Source organism: Homo sapiens, chromosome 1 (genome assembly GCF_000001405.40).
Source record: "Homo sapiens chromosome 1, GRCh38.p14 Primary Assembly".
Classification (NCBI taxonomy): domain Eukaryota; kingdom Metazoa; phylum Chordata; class Mammalia; order Primates; family Hominidae; genus Homo; species Homo sapiens.
The window spans coordinates 158,085,536-158,108,596 of record NC_000001.11 but is presented as its reverse complement, the minus strand read 5'-3'; the positions used below and the strand labels follow the sequence as shown (position 1 = coordinate 158,108,596).

General features: G+C 49.1%; 1 protein-coding gene across 5 annotated transcripts in view, besides 1 other annotated feature; it reads right to left on the bottom strand.

Annotated features, from left to right (window-relative positions):
* Positions 1-8,334: 8,334 nt before the first annotated feature.
* Positions 8,335-23,061, bottom strand: part of KIRREL1 (kirre like nephrin family adhesion molecule 1) — a 106,618-nt gene continuing 91,891 nt past the window's right edge. For 3 of the 5 annotated variants that reach the window (XM_047424310.1, XM_005245305.6, XM_047424312.1), the window contains 11 exons: positions 21,851-22,001; positions 20,737-20,842; positions 20,443-20,591; positions 20,143-20,270; positions 18,969-19,143; positions 18,779-18,879; positions 17,041-17,239; positions 15,151-15,258; positions 14,835-14,974; positions 14,207-14,284; positions 8,335-13,953 (listed from right to left, as the gene is read on the bottom strand). In XM_047424310.1, the coding sequence (XP_047280266.1) occupies positions 13,477-13,953; positions 14,207-14,284; positions 14,835-14,974; positions 15,151-15,258; positions 17,041-17,239; positions 18,779-18,879; positions 18,969-19,143; positions 20,143-20,270; positions 20,443-20,591; positions 20,737-20,842; positions 21,851-22,001 (1,812 nt within the window). In that variant the 3' untranslated portion in view covers positions 8,335-13,476. The remainder of the gene's footprint in view (positions 13,954-14,206; positions 14,285-14,834; positions 14,975-15,150; positions 15,259-17,040; positions 17,240-18,778; positions 18,880-18,968; positions 19,144-20,142; positions 20,271-20,442; positions 20,592-20,736; positions 20,843-21,850; positions 22,002-23,061) is intronic. The other 2 variants (NM_018240.7, NM_001286349.2) reach the window with 1 other exon arrangement.
* Positions 13,912-15,111: an enhancer, noted in NCBI's record as "BRD4-independent group 4 enhancer chr1:158063276-158064475 (GRCh37/hg19 assembly coordinates)". NCBI's record gives its function as "activates an origin of replication core promoter dependent on BRD2, P300/CBP, MED14 and CDK7 cofactors, and independent of BRD4, by STARR-seq in HCT116 cells {active_cell/tissue: HCT116}" and the evidence as "EXISTENCE:reporter gene assay evidence [ECO:0000049][PMID:35650434]".

Sequence of the window (23,061 nt, the reverse complement as noted above, 5' to 3'; positions counted from 1 at the left end):
TGAAAGAGACCAGAATCATGGAATCCTACATGTTAGTGTTTAGAGAGAAATTAGAAATCACTGATCCAATTCCCTTTTAAAAATGTAATTCTAGTCCTTTAAATTTCAGACCCCCAATTTGTTACAGATAAAAAGACATGCAGGTGTTTCCCTGCCCTGAGAGTGCTTCAGTGTTATTGATGGACCCCACACGCCTGAATTAGACATGCGTAACCAGCCCATTGGCCTAAACTTGAATACTAGTTTGTTTTTTCTCTTCAGTCTACCAAAATCCCAGTGGGTCTACACTTGCCTTTAAGATCTTTTACCCCTCTGAAGATTTTAAATGCAAGAGGAACCCGTGCCCAAAGGTGAGGGTCTGTGTCCTCCCATCAGAAAGAGACTGATTCTTGAACAATGAGGTCTGTTTTTCTTTTCGTACCCTGATGAGGGGCTGTCCTTTTAAAAGGAGGATCTGGGATTTCAAGCTTTTTTTTTTGGCATGTAGCCAAGACCTAAGGGACAGTCTACAAAAAAAATTGTGTTAATAAGTGAAGAGACTGTTAATAGCCCTTTAGGTTATGAGGAGGAGAAAGTTGGAGCTTCAGGGGCCCTGAGGCTGGAAGCCTCTCAGGTTTATTTGCTGAGCTTTTCTTCTAGCTGGCTCACTGGGTACTGGGGATGGAGGATAGGGGAATTCCCTGTAAGGTCTAACTTCAGAGGCCCATTATACTGAAAATTGCATGTAATCACATATATGAAAATGCCTGGCTCACTTATTAAATATTAACTCTTTCCCTATTGCAAGCCCCCAACCTGAGCATCTCCATAAGAGGGTTTGGCATTTTATCCCATGATAGAATGTCACAGACAGCAAGGTCAGTGAAGCTGGAATGGCAGGTGACAAAGTAAGAATGGAGAGAAGGTGGGCAGGGGCCAGCTAAGGTAGGGCTTACAGGAAATGAAAGAAGTATGGATTTTATTCTAAGTGGGATAGGAAACCATAAGGTCTGAAGCAGAGGAGTGATGTGATGTGATTTACATTTTAAAAGGATTACTCTGTTGTTGTCATACAAAAAGGTTGTATTTTATTGTTGTTAAAGCCTTCTATGGTTTGAATGCTTGTGTCTGCCCAAAGTTTCTATGTTGAAATCCTAACTCCAAGGTGATGGTATTTGGAGAGGCCTTTTGGGAGATGAATAGGTCATGAGGTCGGAGCCCTCGTGAATAGGATTAGTGCTCTTATAAAAGAGGCCCTATACGCGGTGGCTCACGCCTGTAATCCCGGCACTTTGGGAGGCCAAGGTGGGTGGATCACAAGGTCAAGAGACTGAGACCATCCTGGCCAACATGGTGAAACCCCGTCTCTACTAAAAATACAAAAATTAGCTGGGAATGGTGGTGCACACCTGTAATCCCAGCTACTCGGGAGGCTGAGGCAGGAGAATCGCTTGAACCCGGGAGGCAGAGGCTGCAGTGAGCTGAGATCGTGCCACTGCACTCCAGCCTGGTGACAGAGCGAGACTCCATCTCAAACAACAACAAAAAAAGTGGCCCTATAGAGCTGCCATGTCTCTTCCACCATGTGAAAACACTGATGCTGCCATCAGTGTCTTGGACTTTGCAGCTTCCAGAACTGTGAGAAGTAATTTCTACTGTTTATAAGACACCTAGCTTCTGGTATTTTGTTATAGCAGCTCAAACAGACTAAGACAAAACCTAATGAATTTTAGTATCGATAATGAAACTAACAATAGGTAGGGGATTGCTACCAATGCCCTGCTGTGGAGAAGAGACCCCTGGGGCACAAAGACTGGAAGCAGAGACCACTTAGCCACTGTAGGAGTCGAGGGAGAGCTGATGGACCCTTGGACTTGGGGAAAGCAATGGAGGCCTTGTGCAGTGGTAGGATTTGGGTTACATGCTCAATACCCGTCTCTGCTAGCGCCTCCTTCTGCTAGTGTGGTAGTATCATTATTCTCATTTTATGGATAAGAAAGCTAAGACCCAGAAATTTCCAGTAACTTGTCCAAAGTCAAATGGCTAATAAGTGGAGTTTAGACTAGAACTCATGTTTTGATTTAAAAACCAAAGAGAAAACAGATCTGGATTCTGAGAGCAGAAAGGATCTGGGTCATTGTGATGCTGACCGTGTTGTTAAAAAATTACAAGTAGACCCAATACATAGAGCACATTAAGTCTTGGGATACCCCAGGAGAATCTAGGTTGTAGTGCCTGGCATGGCCATAGCTGAGCTGCTGGGCCTGGGAACCCCTCTTATTTCATCTCCCTGGGATTTCTGCCTGAGAATCTGGCACCATCTCCTACTTCAGTGGAGGGATGTATCAGGACCTTTGGGAGGTAGAGGGGCCACAACTCCCTCCTGGGGAAAAGCCAGAATTCAGTGTCTATATTTACGGAAGATTAGGAGGTGAAGGAACATAGAGGATCTTAATGGGCTGAGATGGGGAACTCTCCCTCAGACTGGTAGGTTGAAGTGGGAGACGCTGAATTTCTTAATGTGTGTTCAGAGCTCACCCCGAAGAAAGGGTGAGCACAACGGGAAGAATCCAAAAACCATATCCTAAGAGAAAGGGTTTGAAGAATCGGAAATATTTAACTGAGAAAAGAAACTTCTTAGAAGAGACATGACATCAGGACAACTACATTTCAATATCAAAAGAACTGCATGGAGAGGGAGAGGGGGGTGGGAGACTACCCAGACAGCACTGTCCTGAAGGCAGAGCTACAGCCACTGGGTAAAAATAATAAAGAGGCCCGCTCAGCCTCAATAGGAGGAAGAAATGCCTTTCAATTAATCCTGCCAACATAATAGAAAGGCTTGTTTTTTAAAGGGGGTAATAATAAATCAACAGTACTGTACGTTTACATGTATTAGGTTGAACCATATAAAATTGCTGCTGTTCACCCATTTTTGACCCATAAAAACAGTTCATATGGCGTGATTTACTACCACCTCTCATCTCACAGTAATTTCCAAAGCCCTTTCAATGGCCTGCAGTTCTCACAGGATCTGTTCCATCTCACCCTCTCCGGATTTCTCGCCACCCTCTGCTCGTACTGCTCCCCTAGCCACATTCCTTGCTGGCCATTGACTCTCTAACTCATTTCTGCCTAAGGTCTCTGCAGGTGCTCTTCCCTCAGACTAGTATATTCTTTCCCTAGATATAAACCCAGCCTACCTGTCCTTTTATCCTGGACACTCTCTTTGACCATCCAACATAAAATAGCACATCTCTCTTCCCAGTGTCCCACTCTACCCAGCCCTGTGTCTCTCCTGACTTCTCTCTGACATTCATTTGTTTGTTCATTGTCTATCTCCCATCATTACAGTGTAAGTTCTGAGAAAAGAAAAGAACTTTCATTTGAGGAATGCAAGTCCTTTTAATTACCAGACCTAGAGAGACATTAAAAGAGATCACAATCATGCCTCACTCTTCCCTTTGAGCTATGTATTCATCTCTTGAGACTGCTTACTTTTGCCACAAGTAGCTATAAATTAACCTAATAATGCCATACACAACACTATAACCCACGTCGTATAGTTTAACAATTTACAGCCAATCACTAACCAATGTTATTTCTGTAAACCATTAAGAATTCCTGACAAAAAACTTTGTAGCAGTCCACTCCCTGTCAGCTTTTTTTGCCATTAAAAATCCACTTGTAACTGCTGCTAATTGGAGTGTATATTCAGGGCAACTTGCATCTATGCTCCCGGGTTGCAATCCTCAAGCTTGGCTCAGATAAACTTTCCATGTGTATTAATTTTGCCTCAGCTTCTTCCTTTTAGGTGCGCAGTTCCATGAAAGCAGGGATGTTGTTTTGTTTCCTGCTGTATCCCCAGGTTTTGATGTAGTTTCAGACACATGGAAAATATTCAATAAATATTTTTTGCATGAATGAAAGATTTTTATGGTTGAGAAAACCGAGGCCCAGAGAAGGCAAATGGTTTCCCCAAAGGCACAGAGTTGGTGCCTGCAGAAGCTCAGGGGAATCGAACATTCAGATCCCAAAGTCCAGCCCCCATAAAGAGTCACCCTGCTTTCTGGTCCCCTGTTGGTCTTGATGCAGAGCCCATTTGTCTCTGAAGCTGAATTGGGGCTTCTGCTTCAGGTCCATAACAGGGCCAGGTGACCCCAGAGGTGCCTTCAATTTTTGAGATTCGATTATCCACTGTTAATGATCTATTTTAGTGAGGGAATCATAGAGGCTCTGAGAAAAGCAAGGTTTTGGTCATCCCTCAGGCGATCACATGATTCTGGGAGCCAGACCCTTTGCTAGGAGTGCTGACAGGATACTGTTAGACTAGAAGTCCCAACCAGTGTCTCTTTTGGGGAGGTAGAACATTAATCTGATCCTCAAAATATGAAATATTCCCCAGTTTGCAAATGAATGCAGGATGTGTTTGCATAGCGACCACCAGGAGAGCAGTATTATATGGAAAGGAACAAAAAGACAAAGCTCCCTGGTTCAATTTGGGGAGCTGATGGCTCTGCTCTCCCCGGGAGGTTGCCTCTGTGTAGCTAATTACAATGAGTAAAGGAAATGGGAAAGTGAGTGCCAATGAAGTGATCTTTCTCCTCCCCCAGGTTCCTGCTTTACAAAGAGCTGGTCTTTTGGTTTTAGAACCCTGGGGACTGGCAACATGGGCTCTATCATGCCCAGCTGGATGGGCACATTCTCCTAATATCAGGTCACTGCTAGAGCAGCGTTCATGTTGTGTTTGTGGCAGGGAGGTGTGTGGCGTGGGATGCTACAGAGTGAGGCGGGTGGGGTGGGAGGGCGGTAATATGCTTCAGAGAGTTAATAGACCAAAGTAATCAACTCACATTTGAATAGCATTTAGCAATTTACAAAAGGCTTTTGTCTATCTCATCTCATTGAGTTTTTACACCATTTTAAATATAAAGAAATGGTAGCTCAAAAAGGTGTGCTGACCTGCCATGCATTGCAGTTACAGGAGGCTTTGCTGGGATTTTAAGCTAGATCTTCCCATTCCAAAATCCTTGTTCTTTCCATACCCCTTGGGCAAACGGAGACATCTTTCCTGATGTCTCTAAGGAAGAGGCAAAGGAGGGAAAGGGACAGATGGCCACTGCTTCCCTTTCTCTAGGCTAACAAAAGCTCACCTTTACTGGGTATTCACTTGCTAAGAACTCTGCTAAGCATTTTCCATGGGATAGTAACTATTACTAGTCCACTTCACAGAGGAGAAAAGAGACATGCAGAGAGGTAAAGTAACTCACCCAAGGAGCAAATGGAGAAGGCAGGGTTTTAGCACTACCTGTACTAATCAGGATAGGATATACTGTGTTGCAGTAACAAACAACCACAAAATTTCAATATCTTAACAAAGATTCATTTCTCCCTCAAACTACATATTCACCATGGGTTGGCTAAAGGGCTCGGGACCCAGCCAGACAGATTCCACTATGACAAAGCCATACCATTTGGAATAAATGGGCTCCTGTCGCTAGGGCAGAGGAAGACAATGCTGGAGGATCTCACACGAGCAATTAAATGCTTTGGTCTGGAAGTGACATGCCACTTCTGTTTATAGTCAGCTTGGCCTTGTCTAACAGCCAGGGAACTCAGAGAATTCAATATGAATAAGTACTGGTCATGTCTATCGGCTTGGTAGACCGACTTGAAGGTCCATGCTTTTAATCACCATGCTATACTACTTTATCAAGCATGAACTCTGTCAGGCCTCTGAGCCCAAGCCAAGCCATCGCATCCCCTGTAACTTGCACGTATACATCCAGATGGCCTGAAGTAACTGAAGATCAACAAAAGAAGTAAAAATAGCCTTAACTGCTGACATTCCACCATTGTGATTTGTTTCTGCCCCACCCTAACTGATCAATGTACTTTGTAATCTCCCCCACCCTTAAGAAGGTACTTTTTAATCTCCCCCACCCTTAAGAAGGTTCTTTGTAATTCTCCCCACCCTTGAGAATGTACTTTGTGAGATCCACCCCTGCCCGCAAAACATTGCTCTTAACTTCACTGCCTATCCCAAAACCTGTAAGAACTAATGATAATCCACCACCCTTTGCTGACTCTCTTTTAGGACTCAGCCTGCCTGCACCCAGGTGAAATAAACAGCCATGTTGCTCACACAAAGCCTGTTTAGTGGTCTCTTCACACAGATGCACATGAAAAACTCCCCTAGGATAAATTCCTTTTATGTATTGTGTTTATGGTTTGCTTCTCCTCCCTCTTTCCTTCCCTCCATACCTGCATTCCTCCAGCACATGCTGAGAAACTACATGCACTCTGTTGGGTGATGGATACTAAAATAAATGATACATGCTCTCTGCCTCTCAGTGACCTTCTTTTAGGAGGAAAGTGCTAATGTGTCATACACAACATCCTGTTATCAAAGCAGAAGGGCTATAAATGAGATGAGATCAGTGACATAATAGCTAACCCACGAGACTTCCAGAGAGGAATAGAAGGTGAGTAATGAGTCAGGCAAGGCTTCCTGTAGGAGATGGCCTTTGGGCTGGGCCTTGAAGATAAGTAAAACTTAGAAATGGGAAAGTAAAGGGACTCCAGGCAGAGAAAAGAGCTTGGACAAAAGCACAGAGGGAGGAAAGTTCAGGGGCATACCACAAACAAGGCATAATTCCATTTAACTGTGTTGAAATGTAGGGTAAGTGAAAGGGAGGGTTGTGAAGTAAGTGAAAGATGTGGGGTCATCTCATGGAGAAATTTGAACTCACACAGGAGTGTGTTTATGCCTGGGCCAATAGCTCCTGTTGTGACACAAATGCCTCACAATGAGGGGGTGGCTTTTACAACTTTGCAAAGCCAGATGATAAAGGGGCTGTGTCATTATTACTTATCCTCAGGCTGGAGGTGACTTAGAGGGGCTGGGGCTCCCATCACAGAAAGAGGCCTAATACACAGGGACAAAGTCCTGTGGCCTTTCTTGTGGCTGAGAGTTGGTTTAGGCCCTTGGGGCCTTATGTAGTGCCCTATACAGACTCGTCCCAAAGAACCTGCTGGCCCTGTGCTGGGGTCTGGGGATGTGGAGATGAATAAATGTATCCCAGGTGGACACATAACATAGGAAGCGCCCCAGCACCACTTGGCCTAATAGTATTCACCTGTGCCTCCACATTTGCACAACTTTGCTTCCTCTCCTGGTCTTTTTTCCCTACTCTTTTCTGTTTGCTTTTGTATTCTATCAATGCCATTTTTACCTATGCCAGTGCAACTTACCTCAATGCAGCCTCCAAATATACCTGTACGTCGGCCTCTCATTCCCATCTGGATTGGATTCACCTTGGGCTACCTATAGGTTCTTGGTCCTGGCTACATGCCTCCAAACCCCAGGCCCCATGGCACCTTGCACCCTTCCTCAGCTGCAGCTCCTGTGCCGTGACTTCTAGCCCTCTTGGAAATGGGTTGCATTATTTCGAAAGTATTTTTTCAGCTCTTACATCCTGTCTTCCTCTCTGACTATGTTGGGTGTCCCTTGTGTACAAAAAAGGCTACGGTAAACTGTCTTGAGTTTGCTTCGTTGTTAACTGGATGAAGAAAACAATAAACCCTATTTCTCTAATGATTTATAGCTTTAAAAAACATTATCTGGGCCAAGCACAGTGGATCACACCTGTAATCCCAGCGACTCCAGAGGCCGACGTGGGTGGATTACTTGAACTCAGGAGTTCAAGACCAGCCTGGGCAACATAGCCTCTACAACAAAACAAAATAAAAGTCCAAAACAAAATAAAACAAAACATTATCTGAAAACTATTTCAGGTATCTGCAAACACTCCTGAGAAATGAGCAAACTGAAACCCTTGGGAACTCAACTCAGAGAATTTAGGATTTCTCAGCAGGATGGCCTCTGTGTGTGTGCACTGCTGCACCATCTGTTTTTTCATTCTGCTTCACTACAAGTTCAAAAGGTTGGAGACCTTGTAACTTTGCTTTTTACCCAAACCACAGCGTTTTAAATAAACAAAACCAGCCATTCTTACACACTTGTCCCAATTCCTTTGGGATCTAGATCTCAGATTCAAAAGTCTCCCCTTTTCCCATTCCCATAATGCGATTTGGCACAGAACATTTGGATGCTGTTTTCCAATAGCAGAAGCCTCCAGCTGTTTGTCCCTGAACTGCCATAATTGGCCTCAGGGTTCTGCACAAGTGGCAAACTAGAGAATACGTTTTTGCCCCACGGCCTGGAGGTGGCACAAACATTGCTTCTGCAATTTCAATCCAAACCTGTTTTTTCCCCAAACCAGGACTAACACCCAAAGCCAGGCAGGCTTTTAAGTAACTAGCCGTTAATGCATTAAATAACACAAAACATGGTACTTTTTAAAACATTTATATTTATATATATAAAAAAATTAAATATATATAATATATAGTGTGTTTGAGACTAAAAATATAGTACATAATATTTTTAAAAAAAGGAAAAAAAAGTAGAATAGGAAAAGGTGTGAGGGACACACAGATACACATTGCTAAAAACCTACAATGGTTTGTCCTAACAAAAATAATATCTTTTTTTCTCTTCTCTTAATTATCATCATGGATCCATTTATTTTTGGGGTCTGGGTGGAGAAAATTCAACAGGAGCTAGAAATGGAGGTTGCAATGCCAAGAATGGCTGGGTAGAAAATGTGACCACAGGGAGCCCTGGGCCTCTTCTGGTGAAATTGGACTTCTCAAAATTTTCTGGGTCACTGTTGCTAACAAGATTGTGTGGAGTTTTACTGTATTGGGATTTTGGCTGCTCTTTCCCCAGAGTTAGGGTATTCTCAGGGGGGACAGCATCTGAAGAGCTCCAAAAGCAAACAGAAGAGCTCAGGGCCCATCGATACTCAACAAGGCCAGTGGTTGGGGCCAGCAAAAAACCAGGGTAGGGACAGCAGACTGGCAGGAATGAGTGACAGTTCTATGCAAATGGAGTTATTATTATTATTGTTATTATTAATAAGGGCAGGTTTGTACCAGAACTGCCCAGTATGGCCTGTGACTTCTGCGCAGCAATTATTTCTCCAGGGACAGGGCCTGAAGCTACCTCACAGTGATGCAAAAAAATGGGATTCCCCACTAACCCCCACACACACCCCCTTCCTACCAAACCACACATCTCTCAGTCCTCTCCAGCAGCCCAGAGGTGAACGTCAGGACCACGCTGACAAAGATGAGCCAATGCCTTTCACAAAAAGCCTGGCCTTGAGGAGAGGAGGAGAAATACCATAGGGGGATAGGAGGAGGCCAAGAGAAGGGAATGGGATATTTAAATGCTAATTTTACAGCATCTTCACAAAAATAAATGCCTTTCAATTACATCCCTTGGCCTGTGCACTTCAGTGTTCATTATGGCCTCGCCAGGGTCAGGAGCTTCACTAATCCTTTTGGGCAATTCTCAACATGCACAGTGGCCTGTAGAGGCACCAAGCAGTGGCCTGGCTCAGGTCAGACAGCACTAACTTGGGGAAGCCAGGATTTCTGAGGCCAGGGTGCTTGGGGAGGAACTGGAGTTCAGCAGTAGGGACAGAACCTTCCACACAGCAAAGAACAAGGCAGTTCGCTCCAAACGGGTCTTGGCTTTAATGTGGTTTTCTTCAAACCCAAATGGCTGAACATTGCTATGAACATAGGTCATGTATATTGAGACACTGATTCCGTTTTATGGAGCCCTGTGGCTCCTGACAGGTTAACGAGAGGGCACGAAACTCCAGTGCGACGTGCTCCATTTTGAAAGCAGATAAAGCTCCCCTCATCAGAGTGAAGAGGAAAGTAGCCCTGCTGGAATAAGGGGAGAGCGTACCGCTTGAAGACAGGGTGCTCAGATGTTTTCATTCCAAGCAAGACAGTGATAACAGCACAGCACTGCTCCCATCCCTGGCCCCTTTCCTTTCTCACTTACTAGGCTTTTTGCTTCATGCAAACTCTGTGGCTGGACTTTGAGGGATCCAGAATTTAGGATATAGGGCGGGTCCTTCACGAGGGAAGTGACCGTGGCTCAGCCAAAATCACAAGATCCTCCTCAAGATCCAGAATGTATTCCAAAGCTGTTGTACCCCTTTCCCTCCACCGGCTCCCCTTGCAAGCTGCTCCTTCTCAGGCAGGGGCAGCTGTGCTTACTCCCCGACCTCTGGCTCCAGGCACCTTGGACTGCAGGCTTCACCTGTTTGGTGAGAAGAACAAGCTGTCCCTGGGCCAGAGGAATGTTCCTAAGGATCAGGGTGGAGGAAGGCTCCTCCCATTTTCCCCTACAGAAGGAGTGCCTGAAACCTAGGCACATAACAATATCCCTATGTGCATACTATGTCCTGCCCTGGCAAAAGGCACCTTTGCAAACCCATCAGAAATGAGTGGGGAGCAGCACAGATGACCCGATAGCCAAAGGATAGCCCCACATCAATTTTACTCTGAGGTTTAGGGTGTATTTTGTGTTGCTGTTTGGGATAAAGGGGTCCCTGGTGGAAACTAATTCACTTCTGACAAGATAATGAAGCCCATGGTGAAAGCTTCTTTGAACAGGAGAGAACCCCCCCAGCCAGCTCTCCAGCCCTCACCATGCTTGCTACTGTTCCCAGTTCCTTGCCAGCAATGGGCAGTCCCATCCCTACCCCCAACCCTATGGGTATAACAAAACCAGAATAGTTTTAGGTTTATGCAACCCTCCCCCTTCATTTTACAGGCCAGACAAATTGGGGGCAATGAACAGAAAGTTAGGCCGAGATCTAACCTTTGCAGCTTCAGGACTGGGTCCTGGGTCTCCTGACCTTTAGTCCCTTGCTCTTTCCACTAAAACAAGCCACCAAAGGTGATCAGGATCACCAACTACTGAGGCATCACCATGTTGCAGGACTCCAGGATTCGACAGCAAAGCTCTGTGATCAAGGACGCCTTCCACTCCCCAGAAAAGCTATTCCACTGGGCCCATCAGGTAGGTTCCAATTCAGATTCTGATGCACCAACACGTAAGTTACAGAGGGCAGAGACTACCTTGGTTGCTGATGCTTCCCTGTGCCTTCCAGGGTGCTTGTTTGACACCCAAGAGGCTCCAGTTACCTTGTTAAGGAGTAGAGGACAGTGAAGTAGCTCTGTGTCAGGCTTCTGGAAACTAGGCTTCCTTTCTCAACAATTCTCCCTGCACCATCAGCTCAATTACCTAGTAACCTTAGGCCCTCTCTCCATCATTTCAGTAGAATGAAACTAATACTTAAGCTAAAAGGGGATAAATAAGAGAATCTAGCCAAACCCAAAACAAAAATGAATTCTTTTTGGAATATGCATGTTTTAAAAGCCACCATCTTTAGACTTCAAGTCTTTGGATTCCCCCATGGTTTCTGGTTTTTGTGAAAATAATAGAAATTTGCATGAATTTGTCTGTACAAGAACCTGAATTTCTTGACAGACCTTCCCACTGAGCTCTCATAAAAGGACTCTATAGAAAGGTATCAGCTTCCAGGGATGGAATACAGCTGGAAGCCTGTAAATGCCCCAGATAGGGCCCACTCCACAGGAGTTTTCCCTGCTGAAATGAAGGAGGATGCACAGACTTCCTGTGAAGTTAAAATTAGAGCTACTTGCTTCCTGGGTATTATCTGGTCCTTCCTACAAGGGGTTGGCCAGGAATGTCGCCCCCCAGACCCATCCATAAGGGTGGTAATGGCCTGTGGCTGATAAGCATGTAACTCATTAAAGCGAACATGAATTATGAATGGTGACCACGGAGAAAGGGCGAGGAACATTTTGGGAACTGCACCAGAGGCCCTGTCTCCCACTGGGCTGGACATGCAGCTGGGGAGGCGGGAAACAGCCAACTCCAGACACTGCTTTTTAGGAAGGCGAGGCTGGGGCAGGGGTACAGGTTCTCCTTGGAGCGCCTGTTCTCTTTGGTCAGAAAGTGGTGGCTGAGAAGCAGTCACATGGAAGGTGTGTGTTGGATGTGCGTGCACATGGAGGAGGAGAAATGGCCTGTGTAATGCCTGCGGTGCCCTTCCGCACCACCTTCTCCCGGTCAGCACAAGTTCTCTGTCAGGGCCATTTCCAGGCCCCTTACCTCTCCAGGTCCCCTCACCCATCTCTCTCCTAACACTGTAACACTTAACAGTGTGTCCGAGGCTCACAAGTACCCACTCCCCACACAACCGCCCACATAGGGTCGGTCATCCAAAGCTTGACACTCAAGGCACTGAAAGTGGAAGAAGGAATCTGATTGGTCCAAGAAAAAAAAAAAAGACACTTAAAAACCAAAACCTGTCTCCCATACCCCCTGGAAGGTGGCCTCCAACCAACTGATGGGACATAGGAGAGTAGAGACTGAGAGCCAGGCCCCCTCCGTAACCCTATCAGAGTCCACTGTGTGACAGGTCTGGCAACCTGAATGTTTAAAAATGGATTCAAAGTGCTTGGAGACTGAAAGAGTAATGGAGGGTGTTAGGAACCCCATGGAGAAGAATAGGTACTACCTTTCCTTTCCACTGGGACTTGTATTTGGGTGGGGGAATCCCTACAGCTTTTCTTCCCAAATGAGGTTTTCATTGTTTTTTGTTTTCTTTGAAAAAGAGCCTACAGCACCCCCACCCCTACCTCACCACTCCCCAAACCAGCTCAAGAGTTAAAGCCAGGAAGTGGGGCAGACTGGGGAGAGGAGGCTTGTGTGGCTCCCTCTAGTGTTGGTTCACTGCTGTGCAGCACACAGCAGTATCTGGGTCAATGAGGACATGGTCCTAGCCTTTCTTTCTCCACCAGGACCCTGACTTATCTGGCTGGCCCAGCATGGAGGAGAAGGAAAGCGGGCCGTGCTGCCGGGGGGATTCCTGGATCCCTCTGCATGCTGACAGACAGCTGTCCACAGTGGGTAGCCAAGGTGACTGGCATTTTGATCCCAGCTGAATGAAGACTGGATTTGAATGCAGTGCCAGGGCTGTTCTGTAGACAAGAGCGAACAGTACCCTGTTCGCTCCCTTCTGCAGTACCCTGAGGAAGGAGAGAGGCACCCAGGGCACGAATGCAGACAACAGAGGGACTGGCCAGGCTATCCCGTTTTCCACCTGTCTGTGCCACAGCCACCCACTCCCATACTTCATGTCCCTAGGCCAAAGCCTGCCCATCCCTGGGTACCCCCATTTCCACTTATGGGAGATCAGAGGGGTGGGATAGAAAGGGAATGCTAAAAAGTGCCCCCCTCTGCTTTCCCTAACCTTCACTTTCCCTGTCCCCATTCTAGGGTCAGGCAAGAGTGCAGGTCAGAAGAGACACATCCTCCCGAAGAAGAGGGAAGGGCAGGCCCAGGAGGCTGGGGCATGCACAGAGCACCATCCTCGGGACGGGGTGTTTCTGGGAGACCTGCTCCCCACCTGCCATGGTGGGAGGAAGAAGGCTGGTCCGAGAAGGGAGCAATGAGCAATGCCCCTGAATATCAGGGAACAGCTGTGAAAGCCTTCTCCTCTGCCCCGCAGAGATGCCCCAGCCAGGCTCTGGCCCCTACACGTGAGTCTGCATGCGCTGCTGGAATCGCTGGCCGTAGTCCGAGTGCTGGGAGGTGTAGGAGAATCGAGTGGCTGTGGCGTACTTGCCAATGGGGTCATACGCCTCATATGGGGTCCGCTCCAGGCCAGAGGGTGGGGCCTGGGGGTAGCCCAGTCGGTAGGTGGGGTACCCAGCTGCCCCAGGGAAGGGATGGGAGTTGAACTTCTCATAGTTCTCGTAGGACAGCTGGCTGGTTGTGTCAGTGCCAGCTGGGGCAGCAGGGCCAGGGGGTGTGGGCTCAGGGCCATAGTCAGAGGCAGGGCCCCGGCTATAGGTGTTGAGCTGGGCATAGCCGCTGGAGTGGGAGAGACGGGATGAGGGGCGGCCGTCGAAGCGGGCAGGGCCAGGGGCACGGTAGTCAGCATAGAGCACTGCCCTGGAAGACGGGCGGTCTTCATGGGCACGCACGTTGTAGTAGCCATTGGTGGGGTCCTGGGGGCAATGAGAGAAGAGGATGGAGGCAGTGTTCCCTCTTGGGTGGGGATCAAGTCTCACCATGGCTTTCTGGGCCTCTTCCTCCAGCTCTCCCTATGTCCCCATCTAGCATTCCACCTCCTCTGCTCCTTCAAAAACCCTCCCAACCACTCCTCCCCAAGTCTGTCCTCACCTCACCTCCCCGCTACAGGACCTCAGAAACCCACTGGCCCACCAGCCCTCATGCCCTGGCCCCTTCCCCCTTTCCCACCTTCATCTCATACTCCTCCCGGGTGTCGATGGTGTCGCAGCGCAGGTCCTGCTTCAGATCCACATCATCCTTAAACGACTGTGGAGCAGCAGGAGTGGGACGTCAGCAGACGGAAGCCCTGCTCTTTTCGCCCCTCACCAACCCCTCCCCACGCTCAGAGGCCACCTGCTCATGGGTGGGGTCTGAGGTCAAGGGCAGACTTGAGTTCTGGTCCTCTCAGCAGAGGCTCTGGGATGTGGTGGGAAGAGGCCAGAGACCTTGGTTCGAGCACTAGTTTGGTTGCTAACATGTAATGTGACCTTGTATATGTCACTGCCCCTCTCCAGGGCTGTTTCCTCATCTCAGCAATGAGGCAGATGGACCAGAAAGCCTCTGGGGGCTTCCAACTTTCACACACTGTGGGGCAAAGGAAGTCTTTGGACAATCCCAGCTGCCTATCCTCTGCTGGAGGAAACTAGCCTGGGGCGTGTGTGAGAGAATGTGTGTGAGTGTGGGAGAGTGTGTGTGGCAGGACCAGGGAAGACCGACTGAGGAAGGAGAGAATGACCGCGGTTATTAGAGATCTGGGATGGAGCTGGTCCTCAGAGGGTGGAGAAGGCAGGAGGCCAGAGAGGAGCAGGACCCTCACCGAGTAGATGGCCTTCATGACCCGGGTTGCTGTGGAGACGCTGGCGGTGTCATCCTCCCGGTCAGAATGCATCGTAAGTGGCTCTCGGTTCACTGTCTCCACCTTGATATCCAGCTTCCTCAGGGTCACGTCTTTGCGACCTGGGACGGGAGAGGCAGCCTGGAACAAGTGCTTCCTGCTGGTCTCTGCAGCGGCTGCTTCTGGCTCCCTCTGGGCTGGAGCTCAAGGGCCAACCTCCCATCCACCCCAAGCACTGCCTGTCATGGCCCTGGAAGAGCCAGGGGAAGGCTGTGGGCTGCACAGGGCCCATACTCACTGCCTTTGCGGCGCCGGTAGAGGAAGAATACCAAGGCGATGAAGAAGAAGATGAGCAGGATGCTCGCGCCGATGGTGGCCCCAGCTATGATGCCCACAGGTAACACCTCTTTCGATGGGGAAGGAAAGGTGGAGGGGTGAGGCTGGAGTTATACTGGGAGCTAAGCTCAGTGCTGGCTAAAGGCTAGGCCACAGCCACAGAGGCAACCTTGGCTTGTGTACAGGGCTAAGTTTTGACTGAGCCTGGGGACAGTGTTAGGTTTAAGTCAAGGTTGGATTAGAGAGGAAGGTCTGCATTGTGGTTGGATTTTGGTCTGTGCTCCAGCTCCATCAGAATGGAGATCATGGTCATGTCTCATCCCTGCAGCTGGGGCAGGAGTTTGCCCCTGGTCTTGGTTGTCTGTCGATCCCTGTCCTTCAGCCCACCTGACTATGATGCTTGGCCCCTCGCTCTTCTTTGAGGTCAGCTGTCTCCAAACTCTCCAATCTGCCACCCGTGTTCCGACATCTTTCACCACTGTGCCATCCATAATACCACTGTGACTGCCGAATGTTCACCTATCTACTCAGGGCTCCAACAGTTTTCCTTGGTTTCCTCTGCTTCCCAGAGCTGAGGAAGAGCTCAGGAATCCTGCTTCCAGCCTTCTCTGTCTTCCTAGCAGCCCTAGTTGAATCCAGATCCTGCTTATAGCTCTTCCCCTCTGAGATCTTTCCCTGTGGAGCCCCACGTTACTGTATCTACTCCATTCTTCCCCACCCCCAACCCCCTTGCTGGCATCCTTAGTTAAGACTGAAGTGATAGGCCGGGCATGGTGGCTCATGCCTGTAATCCCAGCACTTTGGGAGGCCGAGGTGGGTGAATCATGAGGTCAGGAGATCGAGACCATCTTGGCTAACACGGTGAAAACCCGTCTCCACTAAAAATACAAAAAATTAGCCGGGCGTAGTGGCGGGTGCCTGTAGTCCCAGCTACTCGGGAGGTTGAGGTAGGAGACTCATTTGAACCCGGAAGGCACAGGTTGCAATGAGCCAAGATCGCACCACTGCACTCCAGCCTGGGCGACAGAGCAAGACTCCATCTCAAAAAAAAAAAAAAAAAAAAGACTGAAGTGATGGGATGCTGTCATTTTCCATGTGGTTCTCCATCTCCTATGTCAAATGGTTAGTTCTCAAAAAATAAAACAACAACAAAAAAATGCTATCTTTTCCTCCTTGGACTTGGTAGCTTCCAAAAAAGTCAAAGGAATACCTCTTTTATCATGTGAGAAGTGCCTTAAAGGAGAGAACACTTTTCTGCTATCAGAGTGACAATTCTTGAAGAGGTAGGGGAACCCATACTTACTGAACACCTATTGTATGCCAGGCATTTTGTAAATATTCTCTAATTTAATCCTCACGTCCACCCAATGAGATGGGCGTGTTATTCCCTTTTGCAGTTCATATGATTCTTCTCCATCCGAATTAATTTACTACCACTCTGTAAGTCCCTCCTCCACTACACCGAAAGTTTCTTGAGGTCAGGGACTGTGTCTTGTTCACAGCTCTTTCTGCAGCCCCTGGGGCAGAGCCTGGCACATAGCAAATGCTCAGTACACTTTAACGAAGTGAGGGCATTTCCCCAGTTGAGCATGGAGGCCAGGTTCTGGAGGGAAGGCCCCAGAGAGTTCTTTCCCTCTGATGCACAGACTCTTACAATAGGCAGGAATCAGAGGGGAGTAGCCCCAAACCCCTTCACTCCTGACCTCTCAGCCAGGACATCCCTCTGTGTGTCCCCTCCCTCAGAGCAGAGCCCAAGGGAAGGGGAGCAGCTGAGCCCTGCCCCTGGAGAAAAGAAGGAGCAGAATCCTCAGGCTGCTCTGCACCCCAGCTGGCAGGCAGCACTACCAGTCACCTCGCTCTTCCAGCTGGATGATGGCTGTGCCTGGCCCGAAGCTGTTCCAGGCGGTGCAGTTGTAGTGAGTCTGAAAGTCGGCCTCCATGACATTGTTGATGGTGAGCGTGGATAGCACCCCACTGCCTGAGTTGGTCCTCTCCACTGTATAGCGTTCCAGGGTCCCCACCTCCAAGAAGTTCTCCTTCCAGGCCCATGCCTGTGGTGGAGAGGGAAGGAAGAAGGTAAGAAAGGGGCAGGGGGCAGAAGCCCATGCCCACGTGTCCCCTGATCCACCCTCAAGGCACCCTCACCCCTATGTGCCATGTGTGCCCCACAAGCCCAGCCTAACACCTCCCTGTAACAAACCTAAGTCACACCTGCTACCTCACACCCTCGGCACTGACACTCCACTCAAGGAGAAGCAGTGGCTCCCAAGCATGGCTGACATCAGATTTACCTAGGGAGATTCTTTCAAATGTAGATATTTGGGACTTATGTCCTAAATAGGAATCTCCAGGGAGGAGGAGAATCTCTATTTTCATCATGATCCCATGTGATGTGGATGCAGCGGATCCATTGAACCGACACTGGGAATCCTCCCAGATGTTGTAGAAAAAGTTCTGCATTTGTCCTCAAGAACGCTGGGCTCCTCTCCCCATCAAGCCCCTGTGTGGCCTCCCTGTCCCTTTCTAGGCCTTATTTTCTTCATCTATACAATGACAGAACCAGGCTAGGGCTAGACAATGCTCAAGATTTCTTCCAGCTCTGATAGTCTGTGATTCTAACTAAGCATAACTCAATCTTTAGGCGTACCTTTAACCAACCCACACGACCTGCCTGGCTGGCTCTGAGACTGATCCACAGACTTATAATAGGCAGAACCCACAACGGGGTATTCCTGGACCCCTCCATCCCTGACTTCTCAGCCGGACCATTCCCCTGAGTGGCCCCTTCCTCAGAGTGGAGCCTAAGGGAGGGGGAGCAGCCGAGAACTGGCTCCTTTCCAGGGATCAATCCTCCTAGATCTGCAAGGAAAGCCCCCCGGGAGGCCAGCCGCCTGCTGCCCGGGCGGCCGTGGTAATGAAGTGTCCCTGGGCAGCCCTGGAGTTAGCCAAATGGTCATTAAATGTGATGAGGGGTTTGACAGTTAATAGTCACGGAAGGAATTAATGGCTCATGGTGTGGGGGAGAGGAGAAAGGAGGGAGGAGAGTGGCAAGGCAAGGGGCTGGTAGGAGGAAGGCAGGAGGAGGGAGAGAAGAGTGGGCCAGGCAGGTAGGAGAACTGATGGGAAGGGAGAGAGATGGCAAGAGCCAGAGGAGGAGACAGGGAAGGGGAGGGAGCAAAGAAAAGAGCAGGAGGTCAATGACAGGCAGATGAGGGAGAAAAGAGGGGAAGTGTTAGCCCAGGGGAGAGAGTGGGGAACTAACATGAATCAAGTGCTGGCCTAGGCATCTCACACCTGTTGCTGCCATGACTTCTCACAGCAACCCTATTAGGTAGGAGTTACTGGCCCTGTTTTATAGATGAATAAACCGAGGTTCAAAACATTAAGTGATCTGCTCAGGGACACATAACAAGTAAGGGAGGAGGTGGGATTTGAGCAGGTAAAGGGACAGAGGGACAGAAAGCAGAAGATTCGAGGATGGAAACGGGACAGGGAAGTTGAAGGAGCAAAACCAGCAGAAGTGAGAGGAGGCTGGGCCTGGGCAAAGAAGCAGGGAGGGCTGGCTGTCCGCAGGCAGGTCCGCCACTCACTATGCGGTCTGGGGGTGGTGTGCTCCCAATGAAACACTCCACCTTGCCACCGTCACCCCTCACAGCATACTGCACTGCCTCACTGGAGATGATGGGGGGCCCTGCAAGCAAGAAGACACAAGTCAGAACCAGTTAAAAACTGCAGTACCAGCCCGCCCAGGCCCGGCTGCCTCTCAGGCCACTCACTCACCGTTCACATAGAGCGGCACCTCCCGCTCAGCCACTCCGATTCGAGGCACGATGGCCCGGCAGGTGTAGGTGCCAGCGTCTGCCTGAGTCACCGACTTCAGCAGCAGCTGGTTGCTGTTACTCAGGACCTGGGCAGAGAGAGCAGCCTCGGGTGGGGAGCCAGGAGGCCTGGGCCCCTAGGTCCATGAGGGCCCCACATCGGAGGCATCGGAAAGAAAGCAGGAAGGGCCACAAGTGAATTCCCAGAAGGGAAATGGGGTTCCCGAGTCCATTTTGGTCCATGCTCTGACTCTACACAGGTTGGCACGTAAACACACCATCTCTGCAGGTGTGGGCAGGGATGGGGTGGAGGCCAGAGAGGGCAGGTGAAGGCTGCAATCATTTTAGGAGGACGCAGCCTCTTCTGATGATCTGTTCTAGTGTTTTCATTGCCAAATGACATAGGACGTTTTACTCTGAAATTCTTCTTCCTGTAGTTCTGGCCCAAATGGTCTAATGGGGGTCTCTGCAGAGCTGTAGACTCCAGCCTTCTTTAGTGAATCGCCTCAGCTTCCCCACCTCCCTGTGCAGCATTATTTACCAGACCTTTACCACTGCAGTAGGCCCGCCCCAGGCCCTCTCCCTTCCTCCCACCCCACCCTGCTTCCCGTGCACAGGTGAGTTTGTCCCCCCAGTGCTTCTGAACTGGGCTTTCCTGTGAGAAGATGTGGGGATAACCGTAAGCACTTTCTCCTCCAAATCCCAAGACCCTAGAAATAGCCCAGGTTCAAAGATAATGCTGCAGCCCCCCATCTACTCCCATCTGTGGCCGCACCCCTTCCTCCCAGCATTCAGAACACGCAGTAAGGCCGGGCGCGGTGGCTCACGCCTGTAATCCCAGCACTTTGGGAGGCCGAGGCGGGCGGATCACGAGGTCAGGAGATCGAGACCATCCTGGCTAACAAGGTGAAACCCCGTCTCTACTAAAAATACAAAAAATTAGCCGGGCGTGGTAGCGGGCGCCTGTAGTCCCAGCTACTCGGGAGGCTGAGGCAGGAGAATGGCGTGAACCCGGGAGGCGGAGCTTGCAGTGAGCCGAGATCGCGCCACTGCACTCCAGCCTGGGCGACAGAGCGAGACTCCGTCTCAAAAAAAAAAAAAAAAAAAAAAAAAAGAACAGGCAGTAAGAGTCTTACCATATTTGAGTCCTTTTTGGTCCAGGTGAGAGTGAGGGGGGGATTCCCAACCCAGACACAGGTAAGGGTCACATCAGAGCCAATGTCTGTGGTTGTGGGTTTGGGGTCAACTACAATCCGGGGAGCAACTGTGAGGGAGAAAGAAGCCACTCGTTAGGGTCTCAAGCTCATGGGGTTAACTCCAATCAATCTTCCTCCTGCCCTGCTACCTCCCCATTCATGGAGCAGTCCCCGACTCTGTCCAAGGCCCTTTGGGGGCCCCTGCTCTCTGTCCCCGTCCCTGCCCTCCCAGCTACTCACAGTGGACATTTACTAAAGTGCTGACATTGGTGCTTCCCACTTTGTTGTGAACCTCACAAGACACAGGCTCCGTGAAAAAGGAATAATCCACATTTGTCTCATAGCGACTCTCGTGGGCGTCTTCAATCAAGAAACCCCCTTTGGCCCACCTAGGGGAGGAGGCAACACAGAGGTGGGATCAGGCCTCAGACCCTCTCAACTACATCCATGACACCTGGCCTCCCCAGTACAGCCTCTAACCCCGAACTCTTCCTTATCACTCCCCAGAGCGCTCCCAGCCTCTGACCCCCTCACCTGTAGCCCAAGATCTCGGGGTTGGCTGTGGCCTGGCAGGTAAAGACAACACGCTCACCCTCCTGCACCGTCTGTGGCTCAATGGACAGGGTCACTGTAGGAGGGTCTGCAAAGTAGAGCACAGGGAGTCAGGGTCTTTTCTGTCCCTTGAGTTTCTTTTTCCCTCCCTAACACGTACATTCAGACCTGACCACTCTGGCGGGGATCTAGGAATTTGAGGTTGCAGTGTATCGGCTCCAGTTAACACACTGTCTTCCTCACCTTTTGCACATGGAGCCTCTAGGGGGCCTGCTAGGGTGACCACCAATGAAGGCACCAAAGGGACAAATAACTCAATGGACTAATGACCCACTGTGGCCACTAGGCGTCAGTGTGAGCTTGCTTGGCTCACTAAAAAGGATGGGGTGTGGGCATCCCCAGTTGCTGCCCACACCCCCATGGTTCCCTGGGGAGAGACAATTTATTACACACCTACCAGGTAAGAATACTCCATGCTAGATGCTCTTCTGCTATATCTCATTTAATGCTCACAACCCCAGGAAGCAGGTCCAGGTCCACAATCCCTTATTTGAAACCCTTAGGACTAGATGCATTTCAGAATTTAGAATTTTTCACATTTAGAAAGGCAATGGTTGTGCATAGAGCGTTTACTGTGTAAGATCCCCAGCAGCATCTGGGCCACATCCCATAGTCACACATATGAATACATCTGCAGTGAAACTTAAGACTAAATTAAATAAAAGACTATGAAGAGCCTTGGTTCAGGCTGCACCATCGAACCACTTTTAGTTTGAATAAGGGACTGTAGGCCAGTATTTTATCTTTTGCAATATACAGTATACAGAACTGGAAACCGAGGCCCAGAGAGTGTAAACCATTGACTAATAACAGGCTGGTTTAGACCTGGGGACTGCCTGACTCCACAGCCAATGCTCTACCAGCCCTTAGTCCCCATGGTTCAATCCAGGGAATGAAAGATGTGAAGAAGGCAAGCGTTTGTCCTGGGGACCATAGGGGGACTCTTAGTTTGTGTTTCTCAAACTAAGAGTGTGCTTCTCAAACACACCCCTTCTTCCACCCCCCTGCTCCAGACTGCTCCCCCCAGCCCACTCACGGTGCACATCCAGCTCGATGGAAGTCTCCTTGCCACTAGGGATGGCTTCGTTCATGCTTCGGCAAGTGAAGACACGCCCTATGTCCAGGTCCGTGGGGTTAATAAGCAGTTGGCTCACGGTGGTCTCCCTCTTCCCATCCTTCAGCAATTCCTGGAACATGACAAGGGTGGGAGATATGGTTAAGCTAAAAGCCCCCTCCTCTGCTCTTAAGTTGACCTCACTCAGAGATGGGCTTGGGCTGGAGGGGTACTTTAACTTAAAGCTCAATCCCCTTCACTCCCACAACCTCTTCCCTTGTGTGTGTGTGTGTGTGTGTGTGTGTTTAATCAATAGACTACTAATTATCTTTTAATTAAAAGTTATATATTTTTAGGGTCTTGCTATGTTGCCCAGGCTGGCCTCCAAAGCTTGGACTCAAGCAATCCTCCTGCCTGAGCCTTCTGAGTAGCAGCGACTACAGGAGTGTGCCATCATGCCCACATCACAGACTATCTTTTGGAGCAGTTTTAAGTTTACAGAAAAATTGAGCAGAAAGTACAGGGAGTTTCCATATACCCTCCTCCCCGACCTTACACTTTCCCCCATTACTAACACCTTAACACCTTGCATTAGAGTGATAAGTCTGTTACAACTGATGGACCGAAACTAATATATTATTATTAAGGCCACAGTTTATATTAGAGTTCACTCTTTGTGAGTCCAGCGCAAATCCCTTCTCTTCTGGAAAGCCTTCTTCAGCCAGCCCAGCCCTCAGAACTCTCTCCCAGACTGAATTTATGCCCTTATAGTCAGTGTGTCCTGCTCACAGCTCTAGACACATCCAACCTTGCTTGTAGGCACCATGTGTGCGTGTTTCAGGGTTGGGTTTCTTCTGCTAAACTGTAAACTCCTTGAGGGCAGGGAAGGGACTCACAGGCTCGAAGTCTTACACTTGCTCAGTGACAGCCAGGGGTCCCTAAATATGGTCACAGGAACCCTTGATCTGTTTTCTATATTGCAAACTGCCTGAGGGAAGCCATATTATTAATCAAAGTAAGACCCCGTTGTTTGACCACCATGCATGCAGCTTTGCTGGACAGGCCCAGTTGAGGGCCAGTGCAATAACACTGGCTCCCTTGTGCTGCTTTGAAGCTCCATTGTCTTTAATGAATATGAAAAATGGGGGTAGATGACAAATGGATATTAACAAACCAACTTGTTTGGTTGCCAA